The following is a 17298-nucleotide window of genomic DNA, read 5'->3' on the forward strand; positions in this document are numbered from 1 at the left end:
ACTATGCCTGGCTAATTTTTTTGTATTTTTAGTAGAGACGGGGTTTCACCATGTTAGCCAGAATGGTCTCAATCTCCTGACCTCGTGATCTGCTCGCCTGGCCTCCCAAAGTGCTGGGATTACAGGTGTGAGCCACCACGCCCAGCCTGAAAAATATATTTTAAAAACCCAATCCTGCTTACAATAGCTACAAAAAACACTTTGGAATAAACAAGGAAGTGAAAGATCTCTACACAAATAACTATAAACATTGAAAAAAATTGAAGAAGGCACAAATAAGTGGAAAGAAATGGATGTTCATGGTTGGAAGAATTCATATTTTCAATGTGTCCGTACTACCCAAAGTGATCTAGAGTCAATGCAATTCCTATCAAAATACCAATGACATTTTTCACAGAAACAGAAAAAATAATCCCCAAGTTTGCATGGAAACACAAAAGACAAAACAGCCAAACCAAGCCTATTAAAAAAACAAAGCTGGAGGCATCACACTACCTAACTTCAAAATATACTACAAAGCATAATGATATGGTTTAGCTGTGTCCCCACCCAAATCTCATCTTAAATTGTAGTTTCCATAATCCTCATTTGTCATAGGAAGTACTCAGTGGAAGGTAATTGAATCATAGGGGCAGTTACCCCCATGTTGCTGTTCTTGTGATAGTGAGTGAGTTCTCATGAGATCTGATGGTTTTATAAGGGGCTTTCCCCATTTTGCTCCGCACTTCTCCTTCCTGCCATCATGTGAAGAAGGATGTGTTTGCTTCCCTTTCCACCATTATAAGTTTCCTGAGGTCTTCCCAGCCATGCAGAACTGTGAGTCAATTAAATCTCCTTCGTTTGTAAATTACCCAGTCTCATGCAGTCCTTTATAGCAGTGTGAGACTGGAATAATAACACATAGTAACTGAAACAGTATGGTATTGGTATAAAAACAGTCACATAGACCAATGGAATGGAACCAAGATCCAATAAATAAATCCATGCCTTTACAGTAAACTGGTTTTTGACAAGGTGCCAAGAACACACAATGGAGAAAAGACAGTCATTTCATGCAATGGAGAAAAGACACTCAATAAATGGCATTAGGGAAACTGCCTATCAACATGCAGAAGAATGAAATTAGACTCTTATCGCATAGGATATGCAAAAATGAACTCAAAATGGGTTAAAGACTTAAATGTAAGGGCCCAAACTATGAAACTACTAAAAGAAAACATAGGGGGAACCTATAGCCTGGTTAATGATTTTTGGGAAATGATCCCAAAAGCTCAAACATCAAAAGCAAAAGTAGACAAATGAGATTTCATCAAACTAAAAGCTTCTGCACAGCAAAGGAAATAACAGAGTGAAGAGACAACCTATGGAATGGGAGAAAATATTTGCAAGCTATACATCTAATAAAGGGTTAATATCCAAAATACATAAGGAACTCAAACACCTCAGTAGCAAGAAAACAAATCACCTGATGACAAAATGATCAAAAAAACCTGAATAGACATTTCTCAAAAGAAGACATATAAATGGCCAACAGGTATATGAAAAAATGTTAAACATCACTAATTATCAGGGCAATGCAAATCAAAACCTCAAATCCCACCACTGCTTTATCAAATAAGTTAAGGTAATATTCAAAATCTTTTGTTGTCATTTCAGCAATGTTCACAGCAGCTTCACCAGGAATAGACTTCATCTCAAGAAACCACTTTCTTTGTTCATCCATAAAAAAGCTACTCCTCATCCATTCAAGTTTGATCATGAGATTGTAGCAATTCAGTCACATCTTTAGGCTCCACTTTTAATTATAGTTCTCTTGCTATTTTCACAACCTCTGCAATTACTTTCTCCACTAAAGTCTTGAACTTCTCAAAGTCATCCACGAGTGTTGGAATCAAGTTCTTCCAAATTCCTGTTAATGTTAATGTTTTCACCTCCTGTCATGAATCACAAGCATTCTTAATGGAATCTAGAATGGTAAATCATTTCCTAAAGGTTTTCAATTTTCTTTGCCCAGATCCATTAGAGAAATCACAATCTATCTATAGCAGCTACAGCCTTATGAAATGTATTTCTGAAATAATAAGACTTGAAAGTCAAAATTATTCCCTGATTAATGGGCTGCAGAATAGATATTTTGTTAACAGGCAAGAAAACAACATTCATCTCCTCTTACATCTCCGTAGAGCTCTTGGGTGACCAGGTGCATTGTCAGTGAGTAGTAATATTTTAAAAGAAATCTGTTTTTTTCTGAGCAGTAGGTGTCAAAAATGGGCTTCAAAATAATCAGTAAGCAGTTTCTCTAATGCCATTTATTGACTGTCTTTTCTCCATTGCATGAAATGACTGTCCTTTCTCCATTGAGTGTTCTTGGTGCTTTTGTCAAAAACCAGTTTGATGTAAAGGCATGGATTTATTTATTGGATCTCGATTCCATTCCATTGGTCTATCAGTAAACAGGTGTGCTGTCATCCAGGCTTTTCTGTTACACTTATAGAGTATGAGTAGAGTAGATTTAGCATACTTGTTAACGGCCTTAGGATTTTGGGAATGGTAAAAGATCATTGGCTTCAACTTACAGTCATCAGCTGAATTAGACCTTAACAACAGAGTCAGTCTGTCCTTTGAAGTTTTAAAGCCAGGCACTGACTTCTCTTCTCTAGCTAGCAAAGTCCTAGATGGCATCTTCTTCCAGTACAAAGCTGTTTTGCCTAAACTGAAAATCTGCTGTTTAGTGTAGCCATCTTTATCAATGATCTTAGCTAAATCTTCTAGATGACTTGCTGCAGCTTCTAAATGAGCACTTGTTACGTCATCTTGCACATTTATGTCATGGAGATGGTTTCTTTCCTTAAATCTCATGAACCAATCTCTGCTAGCATCAAACTTTTCTTCTCCAGCTTCCTCACCTCTTCCAGCCTTCACAAAATTGAAGAGTTACAATCTTGCTCTAGATTAGGCTTTGGCTTAAGAGAATGTTGTGGCTGTTTTGATCTTCCATCCAGACCACAAAAACTTTCTCCATATCAGCAATAAGGCTGTTTTGCCTTCTAATCATTTGTGTGTTCACGGATGTAGCACTGTTTGTTGCCTATAAGAACTTTTGCTTTGCATTCACAATTGGCTAACTGTTGGGTGCAAGAGGCCTAGCTTTCAGCATATCTTGGCTTTCAACACGCCTTCCTCACTAAACTTAATCATCTCTAGCTTTTCATTTAAAGTGAGAGATATGCCACTCTTCCCTTCACCTGAATACTTAGAGGCCATTGTAGGGTTGTTAATTAGCCTAATTTGAATATTACTGTGTCTCGCAGAATAGGAAGGCCCCAGGCGAGGGAGAGAGACAATGGAACAATAGTCAATATATGGAATCAACCTAAGTATCCACTAACCAATGAATGCATAAAGAAAATGTGATACACACACACACACACACACACACACACATATACACAATGGAATACTATTCAGCCATAAAAAAGAAAAAAATCCTGTTATTTGCCACAACATGGATCAACCTGGAGGACACTTCGTTAAGTGGCGTAAGTCAGGCACAGAAAGACAAATACCACAGGATCTCATTCATATATAGAGTATTTAAAATTTGATCTCATTGAAATAGAGAATAGAATAAAGGTGAAAAGAGACTGGGGAAGTTCAAGGGTGAAGATTGGGGAAATGTTGGTCAAATGACACAAAATTACAGTTAGCTAGGGGGAATAAGTTAAAGAGATCTTTTGTATAGCATGGTGACTACAGTTATTGATAACATATTGTATTCTTAGCTGGTCATGGTGGTGTGTGCCTACAGTACTCCCAGCTAGCTGAGGGGCTGAAGCAGGAGGACTGCTTGAGCCTAGGAGCTTGAGGCCAGCCTGGACAATATAGCGACACCCCATCTCTAAGTGTGTATATATATACACACAAATATATACATATATACACACATATATATACACATATTAATGTATATATACACATGTATACACACATATATGCACACATACATATATGTATGTGTCTGTATATATATGTACACACATATGTGTATATTTGTATGTATATGTGTATGTGTAGTATTCTTAAAAAATGCTAAAATGATGGATGTAAAGTGTTCTCACCACAAAAATGGTACAATGTGATGTGATGTATTTGTTAATCAGCTAGATTTAGCCATTCCATCATGTATGTATACTTCAAAACATCATGTTGACACAGTAAATGCATGCAATTTTATCTGCCAATTTAACATAAATAGGAATTCAAACACACAGAAAAAATGCAACTTATTCTTGTATTACTATTCTAAAACTTTGTAACATTTTAATTCAGAAAATAATTGATGTTATATGTGAATAAGTAATACATGCTTTGAAATTTTTTTAAGTGTATACTTAATATTTCAAAAATTCCATGATATACTTTTGATTGATGTACTTATTGAAATTATCCCTGATCCTGTTTGATATTGTGCTGGATAGCCTCTGTCTATCTCTCTGTGTCTACACTTTGGCCTTCTTGCCCTGCTCTGCCTCCCAGTGTTGAGTGGAAGAACCACCCAACATCTATGTATGGTTCACACTTGCTTTAAAGTATAAGATTTGGGACTTTTGAACTGATGAGATTTAGTTGAGATTCTGGATCTCATCCACCATGCTCACATGAATTATGCACCCTTGTCCTCTGGTTGTGGATGAGTTCATTTGATGAGAGGCACTGGCAGATGGGAGGGTGGGAGGTGAGTGAGGTCAGGGTATTTATCCTTCCTTCTCTCTCACTGCAAGACTGAAGGGTTGGCAGTGGCCGTGCTCCTCTGCCTAGGGTCATAGCACCTGGCCTGTCCAAGACCCTTTACCCATAGATACAACTCTCTCTAACTCTCTCTAGGTGCTACTGGCCATTATTCCCCTTCAATCTTGGGTGGTGGAACTGTATCCCCGTATCATGAGACCCTGGTGCCTCCCATCACTTATTTGTTCTCTTAACCCTGCCCACAGCTCCATAAATAGTCTCTTCAAGAAACTCTCTTATCACCCCTTTGAGTGTGTTGTCTGTCTTATGCTGGATCCTCACTAGAACAGCTATTATGGAATTCCTCTGATAGCATCAATCTAACATTGTGAATAATTTTTTCCCATAAATAAAATTATTCCAGATTTTCAAAACATTTCTATTTTCAAAGAATTAGAACTAGCCATGACTAATGTGGCTAATAACAACCAAAATAAAAGGGAGTCATTTGGATAATTTTTTTTCTCCTAGGACACTTCTGCTATAACCAACTCTTATCACTGAATAATCTGGGTTCCGAAATACCTGTCATCGCCATCAATGATGCACTCAGGGAAGGCGAGGGTACAGCCAAACAGCATGATATGTTGATAGCAACTGAGGCGATGGAGATATGTGAAAAACTTGAGGAACTTTTCCATTTCCATGTTTCTGACAACTGAGAGGAGAGGTGTCAGCGTGGCGTGGTAGGGCAGCATCTGACACTGGCTGTGGGTGATGTTCATACAGGCACCTGGGAAGTAAAGACATGCACATTTAAGAGTGGACACATCAGAAGTATATGTTTGCAAACTCATTTAATATTTGTTTATAAGATAAAGTATACTTATCACAAGAAAAAATTTAGATATGCAATCATACACATAGGTGCATGTAAGTATGTGTATGTGTATGATAATGAAATCAAGCTACAAATATTTACAGAGGAAAAGCATTCGTGTCCTGGGAAAATGTGTGGAAAATACATACTCCTCATACATATCTAGTAGGCATATAAACTGGCAATCACCTTTTCTTTTGGATCACAGCTGGGCAGGGCAATATGTATCCAAAAAAATCTTTTCACCATGCATATTCTTTGACATTATCAAGTCATTTCTAGAAACTTATCCTAAGGAAATAATCATATTTGTGAATGTGGATTTATCTACGGGGATCTTGATCTTTGCATAGTTTACAATTTTTAAAAGATAGAAATCATCTAAATATTCAGCAAAAAGAATTGTTCTTTAGAATATGGAACAAACAATAGAATATTTAATTTAGGTACATGAAAGATGCTTCAGAAGACTATTTAATCACAACGGATGATGCTCATAATATAATAAGTAAAAGTAGGAAGTCACAAAACAATTTGTATACAATGATCTTGTTTTTAAAACACACAATTATGCAAAGATTTGTAATCCCGCCTATGTCAACAGTTCAGGAGCAGCTCAGAGCCTCTGACATTATCTTCTCCCATAGTTGGCTCTTTTGGGCGCCACCATATCCATGGCTTTTCCATTGCCTTCATGCCAGAAATTTGCCTGGTTGACCCGATATAAACAAAAATGTTGACATGCATTCATATGATGGGATTTTAGGAATCGACCACATTTTCTTTTTTATTCCTTATTCTCTTGTCTGTATAAAGATTCATTGCTTTTATTGTTGCTGCTTAAACAAGATTCTCTTATTCACAATCGCCTCAGTTTCAAGACCCAGTTACATGAAATCATATCTATATTATACATGAGAAAACTCAATTTTTAGAAGGCTAAGAAATTTGCCTAGAGGTGCATAGCCATTATGTAGAAATTTCAGATCTGAAACCTATGTCTTCTGAGTAATTTCCATTACTTAGAGCTAATGTAGAGGGTTATGTTAAAAATAGTTCTTGAGATAATTCTTAATGGCTCATGAAAGGAAGAGGCTAAAAAGCATATAATGACATATCTCAAGGTCTGTATGTATAGTAATATGTAATACACCTGTATATTTTGACCACACCTTTTTATCAGTTTTAATTACATTATTTTATTTAGGGGTTATCAGCTTTTGGGCTTATGCTTTTGATGGAAGCCCATATTTGAAGCAATTAGAATACTAAAAGGCTCATTCCCTCCACCCAGCCAAAGAAACCACTGAATATTAAGAGATCATTTTAAAAATGCAAGATAGAAAACATCCTAGGGGCCGGGTGCGGTGGCTCACTCCTGTAATCCCAGCACTTTGGGAGGCCGAGGCAGGCAGATCACGAGGTCAGGAGACTGAGACCATCCTGGTTAACACGGTGAAACCCCATCTCTACTAAAAATACAAAAAATTAGCCGGGCGTGGTGGCGGGCGTTGTGGGGGGCGTGGTGGCGGGAGGCTGAGGCAGGAGAATGGTGTGAACCCGGGAGGCGGAGCTTGTAGTGAGCTGAGATCGCGCCACTGCACCCCAGCCTGGGCGACAGAGCGAGACTCCGTCCCCCAAAAAAAAAAAAAAAGAATCCTAGGAATTTTCCCATATTAGCATTTGGAGAGCTTCACTGTTTCCTTTACTGCTGCATAACATTCCACTATATGTTGTACTGGGATTTATTTAAGCAATCTCCCTTTAATAAATATTTGGACTGTTTTCAACTTTTTGCTATTATATTGCTGTAATAAGTAACCTGTACATATGCCTGAGATGTACAATAGATTCCCAGAAGTAGGATTGCTGGGTAAACGGATAAATGCTTTCAGAATTTTGGTAGCTATTGTCAAATTCCCCCATCATCGAGAAGTACCATTTTGAATTCTCGCCAACAATGTATGAGGATGTCTGCTTTCTCAGTCTCACCAACAGAGAACAGTGTCAAACTTTTGGATTTTTGCTAATCTGATAGGTGAGAAATTATATTGTAGGGTGATTTTTCATTTGCATTTAACTTGTTGCCAGTGAAGTTGAGCACCTTTTCATATATTTAAGGACCATTTGCATTTTGTCTTCAGTTTCATATGCTTGGAAGATTTTTCCTACTGACTTTTAGGGGTGTTTTTTCTACTTTTACAAACTCCTTATTAGGGAGATTAATGTACTGAAAATATTCTAACACTTTTTCTATAGTTTTGTGGTTTTGAAATCATTTTAAAGAACTAACAACTATATAATCATTTAACAGATGAATATATTTTATTCTACTTTAATCCAGCCGTTGAAATATTTAAAGGGGGCTTTCTTTGAAAAGTAGCCGGTTCAGAGGCAGAGCTCAAAATCGAATCTGGAGTAAGGTATGATAATATCTGACATTTCAGTACCCCTTTGTAGTTTACGAACCACTTCTACCCTTATCTTTTAAGGTTGTATTAGTTAGGTTTGGTTTGGCTGTAGTGAAGGAAAATGGAATATAACATTGCTTTAAGCAGAACAAAATTTCTCTGCCCCATAAAAGTCTAGATGAGTGGTCTAGGACAGGAATTGGATCCCGTGGTGCCAGAAACATAGGCTCTTTATGTAGCCCTAACTTCATGGCCCAAGATAGTGAAATCTACAGTCCAGACAGAAGGGTGGAGAAGTAGTAAAGAGGACAAAGACACACACTCTTACTATTTCTTAAGAACAGTTTCAGCTGCTACAAGACCCTTCCACATATATCCCATTATCCAGAATGTCGTCACATGGCCACATCTAGTTGCATGAGAGGCTAGGATTATTCCAGTTTGACATGTGCCCAGATAAAAATGGGGAGTGGGATCAACTACAAACGAAGGAGAATGAATACTGGTGTTCAACCAGAAACCTTTGCCAGAAAAACAAATAGAGAAGGCATCATTATACTCATTATAAAAGAAAACAAAGGCCGGGCGCAGTGGCTCACACCTGTAATCCCAGCACTTTGGGAGGCTGAGGTGGGCGGATCACCTGAGGTCAGGAGTTCGAGACCACCCTGGCCAACATGGTGAAACCCCATCTCTAGTAAAAATACAAAAATTAGCCGGGTGTGATGGTGGGCGCCTGTAATCCCAGCTACTCGGGAGGCTGAGGCAGAAGAATTGCTTAAACTCGGGAGGCGGAGGTTGGCAGTGAGCTGAGATCATGTCACTGCACTCCAGTCTGAGCAAAAGAGCAAGACTCTGTCTCAAAAAAAAAAAAAAAAAAAGGTACAACTATTTTCCTATTCAAGATGTTTGATTAAGCACATATCCTCCCTCCTGACATTTCACCAAAAAAAGAATAGTAAAGGGGAAAAAGGCATAAACTCATAACAGCAAAGAGCATGGAGAGGGGCTTCCATCAGAAGATAAATATTTTTAGCAAATTTCTGCCAGCCAAAAAGAGCATGCAAGAAATTTTGAAGTTTGTGGAAGAGGATGAAGTCAATCTGCCCAGCAGAACCTAGGAGAGGTTCTGGGCTTGAGTTGTCAGATAAGGCAGAGAAGAACAAAAACTGGAACTAAAAAAGGGAGATATTAAAGATCTGTATATGAAACAATTGCTCCTCACTCCACCCACACGCACAGAATACAAGACAGCCACAAAATTACCACCATTAAAAAGAAAAAAAAAGAAAAATATTCATCTATCTCTAAAGAAATTACACAATGGTCTGAAAACTGAGAAAGCTGGTATGGCTATTGGTACCACAGATAAGGTTAACAATAACTGAAAATGTCGCTCTGAAAAAATAGAAATAGTTCAAGACAGAAGAGAACTTTAAAAAAATCATCAATAACTTCAGAGTAAAGTGCCCATGTAATTTATCATCCTACCTGAGAAAATTTAAAGAATGATAACAATGAGCTATTAATAGCTATGCCAGGAAAATAAATATAAACCATGACTGTCTCCTATGAGCCAAGATATATAGATTTAAATAGGTATTGCATCCATAAATGAGAATAGGATGCTAAGAAAAAGAAAACTCAGAAGAGAAAACCTTACAATCGACACCACATAAATGCAAAGGATCATAAGAGATTACTATAAATAATTATACACCAACAAATTAGATAACCTAGAAGAAATGGATAAATTCCTGGGCACATACAACTTAACAAGACTGACTCATGAAAAATCAGAAAATCTGAACAGCCCAATAATGAGAAAGGATATTGAACCTGTCAGGCCTCTGAGCCCAAGCTAAGCCATCATATCCCCTGTGACCTGCAAGTATACATCCAGATGGCCTGAAGTAACTGAAGAATCACAAAAGAAGTGAAAATGGCCTGTTCTTGCCTTAACTGATGACATTACCTTTGAAATTCCTTCTCCTGGCTCACCCCGGCTCAAAAGCTCCCCCACTGAGCACCTTGTGACCCCCATCCCTGCCCTCTGGAGAACAACCCCTTTGACTGTAATTTTCCACTATCCACCCAAATCTTATAAAACGGCCCCACCCCTGTCTCCCTTCGCTAACTCTCTTTTCGGACTCAGCCCGCCTGCACCCAGGTGAAGGAAACAGCCTTGTTGCTCACACAAAGCCTGTTCGGTGGTCTCTTCTCACGGACTCAAGTGAAAGAACCAGTAACAAAAAGTCTTCCATCACAGAAAAGCCCAGGACCTGACGTCTTCACTATTAATTCCACAAAACATTTAAAGAACTAATATCAATTCCTCTCAAACTCTTCCAAAAAACTGAAGAAAAGTGAACATTTGTAAACACATTTTACAAAGCCAGCATTGCCCTGATACCAAAGCCAGACAAGGACACTACAAGAGAAGAAAATTACACCTTAATAACTTTGATGAATATAGATACAAAAATCCTCAACAAAATGCTGGCAAACCAAATTCAACAGCACATTAAAAAGATCATTTACCATGATCAAGTGGAATTTATACCTGGGATGCAAGGATGTTTCAACATACACAAATTAATAAATGTGATACATCACCTTAATAGAATGAAAGACAAAAGCCATACGACCATCTCAAAAGACAGAAAAAACACTTGAGAAAATTAAACATCCTTTCATGATAAGACCTTCAACAAATTAGGTATAGAAGAAATGTACTTCAACACAATAAAGGCCATCTACGACAAACCCACAGCTAACAACATATGCAATGGGAAAAGAGAAAAGCCATCCTCTAAGATCAGGAAGAGAACAAGGATGCCTGCTCTTGCCACTAATAATCAACATAGCACTGGAAGTCCTAACCAGAGCAATTAGGCAAGAGAAAGAAATAAAAGGCAATCAAATCAGAAAGAAAGAAGTTAAACGGTCTCTGTTTGTAACAACATGATCTTATATTTAGAAAAACCTAAAGATTCCACAAGGAAACCTGTTAGAATAAGCACATTCAGAAAAGTAGTAAAAGTAGTATGTTCAAAATCAACATAAAAAATCAGTTGTTTCAATCAGAAATGGAGAGAAAAATAAACTTAAATTAAAAATAAAAATAAACCAGTTCTGCTTTTATACATTAACAACAAACTGTACAAAAAAGAAATCGAGAAAACAATCACATTTACAATAGCTACAAAAAAAATACTTAGGAATAAATTTAACCAAGGAGGTGAAAGATCTTACACTGAAAATGATGAAGCATTGATGAAAGAAGTGAAAGGAAACACAAATAAATAGAAAAATATCCTGTATTCATGGTTTGGAAGGATTAATCTCATTAAAATATTCATACTACCCAAAGTGATCTACAGATTCAGTGCAATCCCTATTATAATTCTAATAACATTTTTCAAAGAAATACAAAAAATCCTAGAATTCATATGGAAACACACAAAAAACAAAGAACCAAAAAAAAATTGAGCGAAAAGAAAACTGAAGGTTTCACACTACTTGATTTCCAAATACACTATAAAGCTATAGTAATCAAAAAAGCATGATATTGGGGTATAAGCATAAAACCAATGTAACTGAATGAAGAATCCAGAAATAAATCCACACATTGATGACCAATTGATTTTCAACAAAGATGCCAAGAATACACAATGGGGAAACAACAGTCTCTTCAATAAATAGTGTTGAAAAAACTGGATATAAAGATTTAGAAGAATGAGATTAGTCTTATTTTACACCATATACAAAATTAACTCAAAATGAATTAAAAACTTACATGTAAAACCTAAAACTATAACACTACTAGAAGAATACATAGGGGGAAAGCTCAGTGACATTGGTCTGGTTAATAATTTTTTGAATATGATCCCAAAGGCAAGGGCAACAAAAGTATAAATACACAAATGGGATTACATCAAACTAAAAAGCTTCTTCCCAGGAAACAGTCAGCACAGCAAAGAAATAACTTACAAAATGGGAGAAAATATTTGCAAACCATACACCTGATAAGGGGTTAATATCCAAAATACAAAAGGAATTTTATTTAGTAGTTAGGAAACAATAACTAAATTTAAAAGTGGGAAAAGGCCCTAAATAGACATTTCACAAAAAAATACATACGAATGGCCAACAGGTATATGAAAAAAAGTTCAACATCTCTAGCCATCAGAGAAATGCAAATTAAAACCATAATGAGCTATTACCTCATACCTGTTAGGATGGCTATTACTAAAACAAAAATTAAAAAATGAAAAAACAGAAAATAACAAGTGCTGGTGAGGATGTGGAGAAAAGGGAGCATTTGCACACTGTTGATAGGGTTGTAAATTAGTGTAGCCATTATGGAAGACAGTATGGACATTCCTCCCAAAAATTAAAAATAGAATTACAAAACGATCCAACAACCCCAATACTAGCTGTATATTCCAAGGATGTAAAATCAGTGTTTTGAAGAGAAATCTACACTCCCATGTTCACTGCAGCATTATTCACAATAGCGAAGATATGGACTCAATAAAAATGTCCATCAATGGATGAATGGATAAAGAACATGTAGTATATACACACAATGAAATATGATTTGGCCTTTAAAAAGAAGGAAATCTTGTCATTTATGACAAGATGGATGAACCTAGAGAACATTATGTTAAGTGAAATCAACTAAGCACAAAAAGACAAAAACCACATGATTTCACTTATATGTGGAATCTTAAAAAGTTGAACTCATAGAAGCAGAGAGTAAAATGATGGCTACCAGGGACTAGGGGTATAAGGGTGAGGATTGCAATATGTTGGTCAAAGGATCCAAAATTTCAGTTAGACAGGAGAAGTAAGATCAAGCGACCTATTGTACAGCATGGTGACTATAGTTAATAATAATGCCCTGTACACTTTGAAAATTGCTAAGAAAGTAGATTTTAAGTATACTCACCCCCCAAAATTATTTGAGGTTAAAAAATAAAAACAGATCCAAGTGATGTTACAACAACTTTTTTCATATTTCATGTAAATAAAGGCAGCATTTTGCATTGGGAAAAAATGGGTTATGAGCCCTCACAGAGGGACCAACTAGACTGGAAATTTTTGGTGCCTGTTCCTGGCTGTACCAGGAAGTCAACTCAGGTCAGGACTACATCAGCAGAGTGGAATAATGAAGGTCATTCTCTATTCTAGATAATTCACCTAAGAAGAAACATTTTGCCAGAATGATTTCTGGGAAAAATCAATTTGAAAGGATATCGTGTACTTAGGAAGATCTGTAAGAGGGTTACAGTAAGCTAAGAGAAAACATAAAACTGAAGACAGGGTCTCTCCATGAAGATTTAAGCTTTCGTTTTTAACTTTTATTTTAAGTTCAGGGGTACATGTGCAGGTATATTACATAGATAAACTTGTGTCATGGGGGGCTGTCATACAGATTATTTCGTCACCCAAGTATTAAGCCTAGTACCCATTAGTTATTTTTCCTGATTCTTTCCCTCCTCCCACCCTCCACCCTCTGATAGACCCCAGTGTGAATTGTTTCCCTCTATGTGTCCATGTGTTCTCATCATTTAGCTCCCACTTATAAGTGAAAACATGTGGTATTTGGTTTTCTATTCAGGTCTTAACTAACTGTAAACCAAACCTAAACACAGTAACTATTCTACTTCTCATAAGAGAAAATCAGGAAACAAAAGATGCATTTTCTTAATGAGTGATTTACAACATTTGTAAAAAGTCTTTACAGACATAGTGAAGGCACAGTTAAGCCAATGTCTTGCTAAGTTATACAAAAATATGTAAGTATTTTGTGCAATGCCACGTAAATTATCAGAGTTAAGTAAAAGCTAGCTATTCTTGTCAAGAGAAATACGAGGTTTGGGAGTTTATTTTCTATATAATTGTATATATTCTAGACTAAACGCTTTTTAATGCACCCCGATTCTCTTGGTGATGTATTTTGCCAAGCTTCAAGCTTTCACATTACATAGATAGATAGATAGATAGATAGATAGATAGATAGATAGGTAGATAGATAATTGTCTCTATCTTATTCCTAAACGCACCTTCATACTTGGTTTTAAGATGTTTAAATCATAAGTAAAGGCTCATAACCTGTTGCAATTCATTCATTCAAGAAACTACTTACTGTGACAATGCTTTAACACAGTGAGGGGTCAAGGTAGAGAAATGAGCCGTAATATAGGCCTCGGCCGATGTGTAGGAAGAGGCAGATGAAGAATATTGAGGCGCCATTGGCGTGAAGGTAGCGGATTTCTTTGTAAATCAATTATTCACATTCCATAGAATTAAGTGAGACTTAACATTGCAGCTGTAGCAGCATCTGTCAGGCATTTTTTATAAATTTTGAAAGAACTACACCTTGCCCCATAAAATCATCCATCCTAGAGTTATGAATGAATGATAACAATAATTAAAATGTATATAGTGTCTTCAAGTTTGTTAAACAGTTTTCTATACATAATATGGTGGTTCCACAGTCTGATTCAAAATCCTGGCTACTATTTTATATTTCTGTGGCCTTTGGCAAGTTATTGAACTCCTCTGTTTATCAGTTTCCTCATCTGTAAAATGGAAATAATAATAACTGTGTAATAGGTTTATTATAAGGATAAAACAATGCTTACACAATGTCCAGCACATAGTATGTGATAAGAAGTTTTTGCTATTATTATTATCTCATTTGTGACTCACAAAAACTCTGTGAACTAGACAGGGGAGAGATTTGTATCCATGTTACATAGGTAAGAAAATTGAGGCAGAAAGCTTTCATTCTGCTTTTTTCTTCTGGATTCTATAATGTATCCATTTATAAAGGGAATAATTATTCATTTATATAGGAACAAAATTCAAAATTGAACTACTTAGTTTTGCTTACTTGTACAATAAAACAATGCTGGGAGTTATAATTTTTTTTTAAAAAAGTAAGCATTTTAAAACATTAGTCATTTAAAAATACGTATTGAGTCTCTACTATACAAAGGCACTTAGTGCTATAGAATGTTTTTAAAAAAAGAATTTGGAATTAGACCACATTTCACATATTTAGCCAAAATTTAACACATATAGAAATTATTTGTTTTTCATGCCAACAGTGGTAAAAATAAATTCTATAATGATGAGAGTATAAAAAATTACTTACTGGAGCAACATGTTCAATAAGGAAAGGATTTATTGTAAAATCCACTACCTCACTAGTAGTTTGTTTTAAATTTCACCACTCATGAAGGTGATGAGATCTCAGTAGACTTTCAGCCCTATGTAGTTTATTGGGAATCTCATTTAGTAATAGTTAAGATTTGAGTACGGGAGTAATGAATTCTAGGACTAACAGGGCAGGTCTGCATACCAAAGCCTGGATTACACCAGCTGGGTATTGTGGTCCTTAATGTATTTGTAAAAGGCTCATTTAAATAACGCTCTCTAATTCAGAATCCTCTAAACTTAAAATCTATCATAAGTCAGAATCAAGTTGAGCAATTGTTTACCTTTTTACTCTCTGACTCTGCAAAGGAAGATTTTATGGAGAATAAGATCGTAAGGAAAGGCATGTTCTACATACTCAAAAGGAAACATTTAAAATGAACTTCTAGTCTCCTTAAAATACACATAAAACATGTCATTTCTTTCTTTTAATAAATATACCTTTTATATTCTAATAAATATACCTTCTAGGTATATTTAGTATATAAATGTATACCTAGGTATATATATTTATTAAAACCAGGTTCATTGATTTGAAAGATAAAAGGTATATTTATCTTTTATATTTATTATTAATTACTAAAAGATAAAAGGTATATTTATTATATACCTTTTGGGGAGACAAACATTCTGTCCATAAGATTGATCTATAATTTTCATTTTCATATTGTCTTTGCTTTAAATATCTAGTTTCTACTTGATTCAAAACTACCTATCGGCATTTTCTATTTTCTCTAGAATATTTTGCATTTAATGGTGATTAATTGTTCCTTAAAAGTGTGATAAAACTTGTCTATAAAATTATCTGGGATTTTAAAATAAATTTTTAAAAGTAAGAATGATTTTTATAGGTAGTTTTAAAACTACTGATTATGATGGCAGCGGTGGCCCATCTGGAGATGCTGAGAAGATGCCAGCTGCAGTGCGGGAGGCATGGCCAGGGCTGCATGCTCCACTGGCCGAAGTCGGTGGGAGCCGGGAACAGGTGGGAGCCCCACCCCCTTCTCAGCTGGCAGGGCAGGAGCCCTGCACTCCCGGGTGTGAAAGTATGTTTAGTTCATATTATTAAACATGGTTTCTTTCTGGGTAGGGGAATTTGGTATGATTTTTTCCTTCTTGCTTTATGCTTCCAGTTTTCTATATTGCTTAAATTAAATAGTAGATATATAATTCTGATAAATAATAAAATTATTATTTTTAAAAGAGCTTTTAAAATAAACTTAAAAATATGACCATCTTCTCCGCCATAAGTCTGGCTTGTTTTTGGTGAGGGATGTGGGAGTCAGCACGAAAGGGAAATTGTAGTACATGGGTCAAAGCAAAGAGGAAAAGGGAGCAAGTAGACTCTTCCTGACCTTTCTGGCTAGTATTTTCTGAGTTCTTATCATGTGCCAGACTGTAAGACTAGCCCCATTGACAAGTCTTGCAGTGGCTTCTTCTATAAAAGCAGCAGCAACCTCAACAAAGAAGGAAATCCTGCCATATGATATGGTATGCATGAAACTTGAGGACATTATGCTAAGTAAAATAAGCCAGTCACAAAAGGGCAAATACTGCATGATTCCACTTACCTAAAGTATCAAACATAGTCAAACTCATAGAAGCAGAAAAGCGGAATGATGGTTGCCAGAGGTTGGGCAGAAGGGGAAATGAGGAGTTGCTAACCAATGGGTATAGAGTTTCAGGCGTGCAAGATGAATGGGCACATTAACAAGTGTAATGTATACTCAAAACTTTGTTAAGAAGTTAGATTTCATGTTTTCTTTTTAACAATAAAGAAATTAGAGATAGGACAAGATGGCTGACTAGACGCATACAAGTGGAACAGCTCCCCTGGAGGGACTGAGATGACTGGCATGCTTTTTTGTTGTTGTTTTTTTAATAATTGTCTCATTTATTATCTTTCTTTTTTTTTCATATATACTTTAAGTTCTAGGGTACATGTGCACAACGTACAGGTTTTTTACCTATGTATACATGTGCCATGTTGGTGTGCTGCACCCATTAATTCTTCATTTACATTAGGTATATCTCCTAATGCTATCTCTC

At 36.1% G+C, this 17298-nt stretch overlaps 1 protein-coding gene across 3 annotated transcripts in view; it reads right to left on the reverse strand.

The window, feature by feature from the left end:
- Window positions 1-17298, reverse strand: part of CORIN (corin, serine peptidase) — a 244067-nt gene that overhangs the window by 164065 nt on the left and 62704 nt on the right. For all 3 annotated transcript variants that reach the window (NM_001278585.2, NM_006587.4, NM_001278586.2), the window contains one exon: window positions 5314-5521. In NM_001278585.2, the coding sequence (NP_001265514.1) occupies window positions 5314-5521 (208 nt within the window). The remainder of the gene's footprint in view (window positions 1-5313; window positions 5522-17298) is intronic.

The sequence above is a fragment of the Homo sapiens genome, chromosome 4 (genome assembly GCF_000001405.40).
Source record: "Homo sapiens chromosome 4, GRCh38.p14 Primary Assembly".
Classification (NCBI taxonomy): Eukaryota; Metazoa; Chordata; class Mammalia; order Primates; family Hominidae; genus Homo; species Homo sapiens.